This window comes from Homo sapiens, chromosome 10 (genome assembly GCF_000001405.40).
Source record: "Homo sapiens chromosome 10, GRCh38.p14 Primary Assembly".
NCBI classification, from domain to species: Eukaryota; Metazoa; Chordata; class Mammalia; order Primates; family Hominidae; genus Homo; species Homo sapiens.
The window spans coordinates 125635418-125647528 of NC_000010.11; the positions used below are offsets into that span (position 1 = coordinate 125635418).

General features: G+C 42.8%; 1 protein-coding gene across 2 annotated transcripts in view; it reads right to left on the reverse strand.

Annotated features, from left to right (window-relative positions):
• TEX36 (testis expressed 36) overlaps positions 1-12111 on the reverse strand; it is a 106642-nt gene that overhangs the window by 58896 nt on the left and 35635 nt on the right. Inside the window, exon 4 of one of the 2 annotated variants that reach the window (XM_005269817.5) lies at positions 3827-4797. The exons of the other annotated variant lie outside the window; for it this stretch is intronic. Coding sequence (XP_005269874.1) covers positions 4762-4797 — 36 coding nt within the window. The 3' untranslated portion in view covers positions 3827-4761. Of the gene's footprint in view, positions 1-3826; positions 4798-12111 lie in introns of those variants that run through there. 2 annotated transcript variants of the gene reach the window in all.

Sequence of the window (12111 nt, forward strand, 5' to 3'; positions counted from 1 at the left end):
ACAAAGACAGCAAGTAACTGAGTTGGGCACCAAAGCTCTGCTTTCAACCAGTAGACCAAGACCAGCCTTGACAACTGTCCATGGCAAAGGCATTTCAGAATGCTCTTTGCTAGCTCCCCTGCAACAGTGCTCTGCATACAAGGCAGGGCATCTCGTGCTGGGGTGCGAAGGTACAGCGGATGGGGGAAGTTCACCGTCTTTCTCTTGTCCCCCAGCACTGCCATCCTCCTGGCCTGAGAACCCAGCAACATCGCAGTGTCCACTCATGTCCTTGGGGCTCTGCCTGCTTTCTCACAGTTTCTCCTGTTCTCCACTCACTCCAGCCAGTGCCCAGTTAATGGTATAAATGAGCTTCTGGGATGGTGGGTTCCACCTCCAGCCCAGACTGGAACCCAGCCATCCACGGCTCTTTCAACTTCTCTGCTTGGTGATTGGGCAGCCTGAATTTCTAGGACACTTCATTTTTTGTTTTTTGAGACAAGGTCAAGCTCTGTCACCCAGCCTCGAGTGCAGTGACACAATCATGGCTCACTGCAGCCTCAACTTCCTGGGCTCAAGCAATCCTCCCACCTCAGCCTCCTGAGTAGCTGGGATTACAGGTGCACACTACCGCACCTGGCTAATTTTTAAAATGTATTGTAGAGATGAGATCTCGCCATGTTGCCCAGGCTGGTCTGGAACTCCTGGACTCAAGTGATCCACCTGTCCCGGCCTCCCAAAGTGCTGGGATTATAGGCGTGAGTCACCACATGCGGCCTTCAAATGTTTACAACTGTGTTTGCTGAATTTTTTTTTTTTTTTTTTTTGAGACAGAGTCTTGCTCTGTCGCCCAGGCTGGAATGCAGTGGTGTGGTCTTGGCTCACTGCAAGCTCCGCCTCCCGGGTTCACGCCATTCTCCTGCCTCAGCCTCCCGAGTAGCTGGGACTACAGGCGCCCGCTACCACACCCGGCTAATTTTTTTTTTTTTATATATTTTTAGTAGAGGCGGGGTTTCACCGTGTTAGCCAGGATGGTCTCGATCTCCTGACCTCGTGATCCACCTGCCTCGGCCTCCCAAAGTGCTAGGATTACGGGCGTGAGCCACCACGCCCAGCCTTGCTGAACTATTTTATATGGTTGACTCATTACATGAATAACCAAATGAGATTCAATTTTGATACCTTCATAAAAGTTCCAAATGAGTTCACAAATACGAACTTTCTAAACCCGTGTTCCAGTTCTGTAAATCTGCCCACACACTGTGACCCACCATCGTATCAGTGGCCGGTCCCCGAACCCACTCAGGCCAGTTCTCACTTTCTCCAGTCACGTCTCTCTCACTCTCAGTTCCCTGCCGCTGTACTTGTGTGTGGGTGAGCTAAGAACACTCAGCGTGAGATGCGTCCTTTTCGATGTTAAGTGTATAATACGTTACTGTTGACTGGAGGTGCAATGTGGTAGAGTAGATTTCTAAAGCTTATTCATTATACTTAAATGAACCCTTATACCCATTGATTAATAACTCCCAATTTTCCCCTCCCCCAGGCCCCAGGTCACCTCCATTCCAGTCTTTGATTTTATGAATTTGACTATTTTAAACATCTCAGATAAGTAGAATTATAGGCCTGGTGCGGTGGCTTATGCTGGTAATCCCAGCATTTTGGGAGGCAGAGGCAAGCAAATCACTTGAGCCCAGGAATTTGAGACCAGCCTAGGCAACATGGCAAGACCCCATCTCTACAAAAAAATTAAAAAATAAAAATTAGTCTGGCGTGGTGGTAGACACCTGTGGTCTCAACTACGTGGGTGGCTGAGGTGGGAGGATCACCTGAGCCTGAGAAGTCGAGGCTGCAACGAGCCATGATATTGCCACTGCACTCCAGCCTGAGTGACAGGGTGAGACCCTGTCTCAAAAAAAAAAAAAAAGTATAATTATGCAGTGTGTCTTCTTATGTGTCTGACATTTCACTTAACATAAGATCTTCAAAGTCTGTTCATATCACAGATTGCAGAGTTTCCTTCCTTTTTAAGACTAGATGAGATCCCATTGTATGTATGTACCACATTTTCTTTATCCATTCACCTGTTGACCGGATGTCCAGGTCAGTTTCACATCTTAGCGATTGTGAACAGTGCTGCAGTGAACAGAGGAGTGCACACATCTCTTTGAGATCCTGATTTCACGTCTTTTAGATATACATTTCCTCCAGTCCTACCAGCAGTTGTCAGCCCTGGCTGACCCTAGAATCACTTAGGGAGCTCTTCAAAAATGCTGAGGCTGGCCCCACCCCCAGGTACCTGACTCAGCCGGTCCAGTGGGACCCCTGTGGTGAGCTCCCCAGGAGATTTGCCAGGCAGCGGCCTCAAGAACCTTGCCCCCATCCATCTCATGGCACAGTCTCCTTGCTTTTCCCCATAAGAACGATTTCCACTTCGCATTCTTCATTTTCTCCTGCCCCCACTCCTGAGCTGCTGAGTTCTGTTGGAAAAATCCCACAGTGGGACATAAACCCTCTGCAAGTCCAGACCACCCCCCTGCTGCCGGGCCCCCTCCAACTTCCCCTTGGTGATGGCGTTCCCTTGAAATGATCATGCCACAGGCTGCTCATCTTCCTATGGGTTTCATCTCAGGTGCCTCATTCTCAGCTGAAGACCTCTCTCCACCTCCCTCACTCACTCCAGAGAAATTCCCCAACTGCCTCCTTCCCCACTCTCAAGTTTCTTTCATCTCTTCCCATCCACTTAAGCCATGTGACAACCCCCTCCCCCAGCCCCCATCCCCCACTGCCAGAAGTGGGTCTCCCTTCCAGGTGCAGGCCCCTCCCCGTGCTGCCCCTGCTCCCCTTCTCTCCTTCCCCATCCTCAGGCAGCCTCAGCCTGGGCATTTCCATTCCTTCTTTCCCTCGGTCTATAAGCACCACTAAGTCCTATGTTTAAAAAAGAAAAAAAATCCTAAAAAAGAAAGAGAGAGAGAGAGAAGAGAGAAGAATTCAGAAGACAGAAGCAGAGAGATGGCAGTGAGAGAAGGTCTCAGCTCAACGCTGAAGCTGGAGAGGGAAAAGAAATGGATTCCCCCTGGACCCCCAGAAGGAAAACCAGCCCTACACCTTGATTTTTGTCCAGTGAGACCCACTGTGGACTTCTGACCCCCAGAATTATCAGATAATAAGTTTATGTTGTTGTAAACAAACAAACAAAAAAAAATTTGCTGACTCGATTTCTCCATCAAGCTATCGCTACATCTTCTCCCTACGTGTCTAGTCCTGAGCTAAGCCACCGTGCCCAGCTGTCACCTGGAGATTTCCCTCTGCCTCCCCTAGCACCTTGAACTGAGCTGGTCTGCAGCCACACTCACCTGCCACCCCAACCTGCTCCCTGTCCTGGGCCCGTGTGCAGGTCACTGCACTCCAGCAGGGGCTGCATGAAGCCTAACGTCACACATCAGCATCACTGAGACTTCATGTTCCCAAATCTAAGGTGGAAATGCATCATGCTCCTTCCGTCTGCTGAATAAACCCATCATCCCTTTCTATTACACTATTAATTCTTTGTTTTACCTATCATTAGGCTTTCAGTAAATAAATAAATGAAGCCAAAATAATTACCTTTATCCATAAGTAATCAGAATGTGTTTAGTGCTTTAGTAAATAGTTTGTTTTCTAATTTTCCTTTAATTAGCAGTGAAAGAATTCAAATGAATTCCTTATCTGGCAGATAAAAAATTAGATTCAGCTTTTGCTCTTACACATATATCCAAATTTTAATGTACACAAGAAACACAATTCATAATTGTTCTGTGAGATAATATGTATCCAATACTAAACACATTTCTATATTTATCTTCTCACTCTCATCACAGCTTAATAAAATTATAATGATGACCTTTCAAAGTACCATTGCCTGATCCACATTGACACAGCATCCCTAGCTCCAAATCTCAGCTATTGCAAGGGGCCTGCTGCATCTCACTGCCTGACAGTCTATGCTGGATGCACTACAGGCAGCATTGGGGTCTGTTACCACTCATGCTTGTACCCCAGAAGCCAGCATAGTACTTAACACAGAGTTAGGGCTGTGATAAAAAAAAATTGTCACCGAATGATGAGTAAATACATAAGGTCTTTGGGCATGTCTTACATTGTGTTCATACCAATACACATGATACTGTGGCTACATCACCTGTCCCAAAGGGAATGGGGCAATGTGGGGGGGTGGGGGAAGCTGAGGGTGGGAGGGGCTGTGGCCATATTAAGGAATGAGCTGTAAAACAACCCAGATTCAGTTGGCAAACATGATTGCTTTAACCCAGACTATCCTCGTTGATTGAAGTTATCCAACAGAGTCAAATCCTTTCTCTAAACATCTAGAATGTCATAAATATGAGGCATTGCTTTCAATACAAAATATTCTTTGGAGGAACAATAAGATTTCTCCTGTGAGATTATGTTGAGACTTCTCAATCCTCTTTGGGAACTATAACGGCAGATGTTAGAGAGGGATTGGATATGCCACTCATGGCCGATACCAGTCATGGCATCTTAGACAAAGGCTATAAACAGCAGAAGAATGTTTAAAATGGCTTCAGTGATTCTCCTTCAGGCCAAAGGAATTACAACCATGTGTTCTCAGCAGAGAAGGCGTAGTATTCCGCTGTGGTCACTTATTATCCCGTCAGTAGCTATATGGAACGTGGATAATGAGCAAAGTTGTTTTTTCCGTTCAGAACTGGGATTGTCCCCTGCAGATGTTACAGCCAGATCAGTGCCCAAGTGGAGTAGAAATCATTGTTCTTGGACTGAACATTCTGATGCTAGCTCCTATTTGGCAGGAGGAGAGGAAGAAGGGAAGAAAATAGGATTTGTGTTCTTGTGCCTGTATTACCCAATTTGGGAACTTACAGATCTGTTTAATTTCTATTGGGAGAGAGAATAAAGCATTTGAGGTTATTTTGGTTACTCTCTGCGGAAATCACACGCTACACCTAACAGATTCAACAATTTCATAGAGCCGTAGTCAAGCGCGTGAGTTACAATTTTATTCATTCCATTTATTCAGTGAGTCAGGCTCTGACAGGGGGTTGATTTGTTGTTTAATATTTGGGGGGATTATTTTGGTATAGCCATAACATGTTTACTTAAATACCGCGTGTTAAATGAGATGTTTTGGTTTGTTTTGATGGGTACTTATAAAGGCAATACACAGCATTTCACACTTAGCATTTTCCCATCCTCAACATGGCACCAGGATTAGCGCAATTGACTGCCCTGTGTGTTTGGGAAGTGTCAGGTTTGTTTCACCCAGGGAAAGGCAGGACTAGAAGACAGGGTTACTCTCAAGGCAGAGCTGGGCTGAAGGGGATCTTCCCAAAACACTGGGTCCCAGTGCCATGCTAGGACCAAAGACTGTGGGTGGCAGCAAAGAGCCTGAAGGAGAAAATTGATTCTTCTTGCTTGTTTTGTGGGTCTTAGGGTGTTACCATAACAGCATGGATTCTTCCCTGTACTCAACAGAACATATGGGAAGCCTATAGTTAGCTCATCATTTCAACCCTTCCTCCCCCACACCCATCTCTCCCCCCTCCCCCGGGAATCTTCAATATGGGACCAATTTTTCTGTAGGTGAAAAAAAAAATTTAATTGGGATGAAATGTCCTCTTCTCCCGAACTGTAGACCAGCTGTGATATGTCCTGAACTTTGATTGGAGCTGCAATTGACCACTAAACTGCAATGTAGAAATTGTTCCTAGAAAGGCTGTAGAATTAGCCATGGCAGGAGAAGTGCCCTCACAACATCTGATTCCCGTGCCTGGCCACCCAAACAGAAATGGCTTTGGCCAAAGGCAGCCACAAGATACTCTAACAAAAAGAAGGCACAAGGCAACTTTTAAGTCATGGTCCTAAATGCTAAAGCAGACCAAAAGAGAATGTACGTCTCTAAAAAGAGGCAGGCATTTAAAAGTTGGTTTCATATAGGAAATCATCACTTTGCCCTTCTAACCATCATGTCTGAGGGCCTTTACATCTGATTTTTGCAAATATAAACTAAATACTCAGTAGTTATGCAGATGCCTGCTACATGCACAAAAAGTGACTGAAGATTCCTAGTATGGGTCTAGAATGGGTACTAGACAGCCTCGCTATGAAACGTTATTGCCCTCGGGTGTTATTTTAGTGTCTAAGTCATCTCTCAGATGGCACAAGTCCAACTCTAATGCATTAAAACAGAAGAAATCTATAAACACCTTCATGTATTTGATGAGTAAGTTGGGGTTTCTTTAACTGGCTGTTTATTCCTCTGTTCAGAACAATACATTAAAACAAGAACCAACAACAGCAAGTCACTGACATTGTGCCAAGTTATTAAAGACTTTTGTTTTTGTAAAGTGGGTTGTTGTATTGGGGACATCTATGCTAGAGTCCCCAGGACCTACCCCTCCATTCCTGTGCAGTATCCTTTTGTTTTTGACTCACTGGATTGAGAATTGTGAGGTGGTTGGACAGTGTTATCTCTTTTGTAGAAAACTATTAAGAAAGACTGGTTTTAAGGGGAGGTTATCTAATTTGCGTTTCCATGGGTGGTAAATATACCCTTCCCACTCATTTATCTCTGTGTCCCTCCACATAATTGCAGATTTGGTTCTGTATGTCTTTTGGGTAATTTTTTGAATTTCACTTCCCATAAGTGGAATTATGTGTCACTCCTGTTAGAGACTGTTGGTGTTTGGGCAGAGAAAGGAGAGAAGAGGCAGAAGGCTCCACAAGTGAGGATTTTGTGAGGACTCCCTGGGAGAAGAAAAGAAAATGCACCTGGTGGAGAACAAAGCTCCTACATGTCGAAGGCAAAGACAGGGCCTTGCAGAGAACTTAGCACAGGCAGAGATAAAGCCATGTAACCCGTGTGTCAGATATGAGCTTGAGAGTTATGCCCATTGCAAGCCTCTGATGTCACAAACCTGCCTGTTAAATGGCATTCTGTTAAAACCAACCACAACAAAAACAGTATCTCTTTGACACAGAGGACAGGAGAGAAGCTACCAAGTTTCCCTCAGAAAAAGGAATGAAAAATGGAAACTACGATGCTTACTAATTTAAGATGCGTGAAACATCATTTGATATTCTCTTTATTTGTGTCATTTTTTTAAGATTTCATTTTAGTGAACATAAAATCCCTTAGTTGTATGTATTTCCTAAAGTGTGGGAGGGAGTTTAGGTGGCTGCCAGGTGTGATATTAAATAATATTGACTTACATCTTAAGAAAGGTTTTTTTGTTTTTTTGTGTTTTCTATTTCAAACCTTCTGTTTAGGCTGAGCAGAAAACCTTGGGTTTGGTGGTAATATGTCCAACACCTCTCTAATACTTACTAATTCCCTATTTCAACAAACGGAGACCAGGCCTCAGACAAGAGGTCTTTAGGAGGCAACAATGTCCAGCTGGAATTTAATCGCATTGGTTGGTTGGTTGGTTGGTTGGTTTTTCCACTGTATTTACTTTTAGATTGCCTTCTATCTATGACAAGTGATCTCAATTTTCTAAGTAATGGAAGCTAGACAGGATCAAATTGGGCACAGGTCAGGTCGGCTACAAATGTATTCACTGTTCCAGGGGTGCTGGCATGGAGGCAGTGAATTTGAGAAGGGGCAGGGTCCAGGGCATTTGACGAGGTTATTCATAGAGGTTCTCTGCCAAGGCTGTCCTCAGCACATTCTCTGTGCAAAGTGATGAACTAGATCCCTGTCAGTGACAAAGCAGATGAATTGAGAGTTATCACTTGGGCCAGGAGGGCAGGGCAGTGTCCCAGAAAGGTGGCAGTAAACAGGCTGGGAGCCCCTACCCAGAAGAGGAGCTAGTGGACACACCTGGGGCTGCCTCTCACCCGCCCTCATGCAGACAGCGTGAGAAGAACGTATATACTGCTCACAGGTAAGCTATCAAGGATCTTCAAAAAGCAACTGTAATCCCAGCACATTGGGAGGCTGAGGTGGGCCGATCATTTGAGGTCAGGAGTTTGAGACCAGCCTGGCGAACATGGCGAAACCCTATCTCTACTAAAAATACAAAAATTAGGCCGGGCACGATGGCTCATGCCTGTAATCCCCGCACTTTGGGAGGCTGAGGAGGGCGGATCACGAGGTCAGGAGATTGAGACCATCTGGTTAACAAAGTGAAACTCTGTCTCTACTAAAAATACAAAAAATTAGCCAGGCTTGGTGGCGGGTGCCTGTAATGCCAGCTACTTGGGAGGCTGAGGCAGGAGAATGGCATGAACTCCAGAGGTGGAGCTTGCAGTGAGCAGAGATCACACCACTAGTGGCACTCCAGCCTGGGCAACAGAGTGAGACTCTGTCTCAAAAAAAAAAAAAATACAAAAATTAGCTGGGCATGGTGGCACACACCTGTAATCCCAGATACTCAGGAGGCTGAGGCAAGAGAATTGCCTGAATAGGCAGAGATTGCAATGAGCCCAGATGGTGCCACCGCACTCCAGCCTTGGTGACAGAGCGAGACTTCACCTAAAACAAAACAAAGCAAAACAAAACAAAAGAACAACAACAAAAAAAACAACATGAGCATAAAACCAAGTCACAAAATGTTTGCACCATGCAATAAAGGCAAATAGACACAACAATACCCAAGGAAGCCAAGTGGGTGGAGAAAAATAACAAGCTATAGAAATAAGTAAAATCGTTATCAGGCAGAATCAAATATTACACCCACAAACAAAAGCCAAATAGAGACCTTAGAAATTAAAATGTTGTTTGGTTACAAGAAAACCTCTACAGGTTGGCTAAATAACAGAATGGATCATTGAAGAGCCACTTAGTAAGCTGGAAGATGAAGTTCGGGAATTCTCCCAGAAACCAGTGCAAATAGATAAGTAGACAAAAAATATAAAGGAATGCTTGAGAGCTGAGGAAGATAGAGCCAGGTATTTAAGTAGCCATCTAAGACACATTCTCGAAGAACATGGAGGAGAGAAAATAATCAGAGATATAATTGAAAAAAAATTCTATAGCTAAAAGAAAACTGAAAATAAAAAAAAACAATACTGAAAGTGAAATACCCTACCTAATTCCCAAGTGTGCATATTATGTAAATGTCAGACATGATTAGCTAATTAAGAAGCTAGATATAATCTAATTTTGTAGCCAGAAAAACACATACACGCACACGTAAAACTGTGAAATCTGAATAAGGCTTGTGGATTGTACCAATATCAATTTCCTGGTTATGATATTTGTGGCACACAGAATTCTAAGATGACCTTCAATGAATCTCACTCTTGTATAATCCCCTGCCCTTGAGTGTGGCAGAACCTGTGAATATGATGCTGTGTCAATCCCATGATTATGTTATGTTACATGTTATGTTACATGAATTAAAGTCTCAACTCAACCTTAAAATATGAAGGTTATCCTGGTTGGGTCAAGCTCAATCAGGTGATCCCCTTAAAAAGGGCACCGAACTCTTTCTGGTGAAAGAGATTGCAAAACTTGAGAGAGGCATTCCACTCAAGGTTTTCCATTGCTGGGATTGGAGATGGAGGGGCCATGTAGCAAGGAGCTGAGAAGGGACCTGGCTAACAGCAAATGAGGAAGCAGGAAAGCTCAGTCCTCTAACCACAAGGAACTGAATTGTGCCACAACCACACAAACATGAAAGAGAACCCCTGGCATCTGATGAGAGTGCACCTCGATTTTAGCCTGTAAGACCTTGAGCAGAAGACCTCACCACGTGCACCCAGACTTCTGGCCTGCAGGGGCTGTGTGTTAAATGGTGTTGTTATAAGCCACTAAATTTGTAGTCACTTGTTACACAGTACTATAGTTTTAATATTTTCCCTCCAAAATTCATGTTAACACTTAATCTCCAATGTGACAGCATTGAGAGATGGGACCTTTTAGAGGTGATTGGGTTATAAGGGCTCTGTTCTTATGAATGGATTAATCCATTCGTGGATTCATGGTTAATAGGTTATCATGGAAGGGGGACAGGTGCCTTGATAATAAGAGAAAGAAAGACCTGAGAGAGCACATTGGCATGCCCAACCCCCTCTCCATGGGCTATCCTATTCACCCTGGGGACTCTTCAGAGAGTCCTCACTAGCAAGAAGGCCCTCACCAGACGCAGCCCCTTGGCTCTGGACTTCTCAGCCTCCATAACTGTAAGAAATAAATTTCTTTTCCTTATAAATTACACTTGTAGTTTATAATTTTACATTATTATTCCAGATATCCTATCCTAAGCAACAGAAAATGGACTAATATGCACAGCAATAGAAAATAAATATTCTATTTTACCAGAGTTATGCCAGATATTAGCATTGGAGAAAAGTGGGTAAAAAATAGGCAGAATCTTTCTGTAGAATTTTTTTGCAACTTTCTATGGCCCTATAATTATTCCCTCTAAAAAAAAATATGTAAAAGGGAGATTGTATATTCTTGTCAAATACATGTGAAACAGTGACAGAAATTGACTATGTGTTAAGCCTCAAGAACATTTTAAAATTTTCAGTAAGCAGAAATCATACAAATCTTAATCACTGACCACAATGCAGAAATTAATTAATAAAATGTTGACAATGAAAAATAACAACAAAAGAAAAAATCAAATACACTTCTCAATAACTATTGAATTAAGAAAGAAAACAGACCAGGAGCAGAGGCTCACACCGATAATCCCAGTATTTGAGGAGGCCCAGGTGGGAGGATCACTTGAGCTCAGGAGTTTGAGACCATCTGGGCAACATGGTGAAACCCTGTCTCCACTAAAAATACAATATAGCCAGCCGTGGTGGTGTGCACCTGTAGTTCCAGCTACTTGGGAGGCTGAGCGGGGAGGATCACTTGAACCCCGGAGGTCAAGGTTGCAGTGAGACATGATTATGCAACTGCACACCAGCCTGGGCAACAGAGTGAGACCCTGTCTCAAGACCAACAAAACAAAATAAAACAAAAAATAAAAAGAAAGAAAACAACTGCAAGCTATTTAAAAATGGACAATAACAAGAGCACCATGATGTGTCTATGTACAGTGGCATTCTGAGGGAGTAGCCTTAACTACATTTACAAGAAAACAGGAAAGACTGGAAATAATTGAGTTATGTTTTCACCTTGAGAAGCCAGAAAAAGAAAATCAAAATAAGCTCAAGAAAGGAATTAGTAAACATGAAAGCATACATTAACGAGATCAAAAGCAAACAACAGCAACAAAAATGTAGAGTTGGTAAACAGAGCAAAGGCATGTAAACATTCAAAATGTCAAAGGACAGGATGTGACTTGAAGAGCCTTAAAAAAGAGAACTGTATTAAAACACCAACATTTTACAAATCCATGTAAAACAAATGGTTTCCTCTAAAAATAAAAATGATCAAAATTAGAAAAAGGAAAAAAAAATGGAAGTACCATACAGACCAATCTCCATAAAAATAAATGGAAAAGACATGCCAAGATTTGCACCCGAAAACAGCCCCAGGTCCAGGAGCTTTCCTGGCAAATTCTATAGGTATTTGCAATTTATATAAGTGGTGTCAGAAGATAGAAAAGGAGAGAAAGCTGCCTTCAACTGAAAGCTAAAATAATAATTGCAGAAGTTTAAAAACTAAATGACTGCAAGTAAGATAATTGCATATCGAATTCTGAATGTATCGAAAGCATAATACCTCATAACAAATAGAGTTTGTCCCAAGAATGCTAGAATGGCTGAAGTTTAGAAAATCCATTGATATACCTTATTATATTAACATATTAATATAGAAAAACATAAAATTATCTCAATAAAGACCAGAACATTATTTGCTATAATGTCACTCCAGACGTACAACCATAGCACAAACCCAGAATTATTTAATAAGCTCAAGCAAAGGAAGTCCTCAGCAAGACATGAAATCCTGAAGCCATTAAATAAAAATTTCATTCATTTTACTCTTAAAATATGCAGGGCTTTTATATGATGTGTACCACACCAAAGCAAGATGTTAACAGTAGGGGAAATTGTGGATATAAGCGGGAGAGTGGGTATACAGGAACTCTGAACTTTCCATTCAATTTTTCTGTAAACCTAAAACTGCTCTAAGAAATAAAGTTTATAAGCAAAGAGGAACAAAAAACAACAAATTAGATAAAACACTTG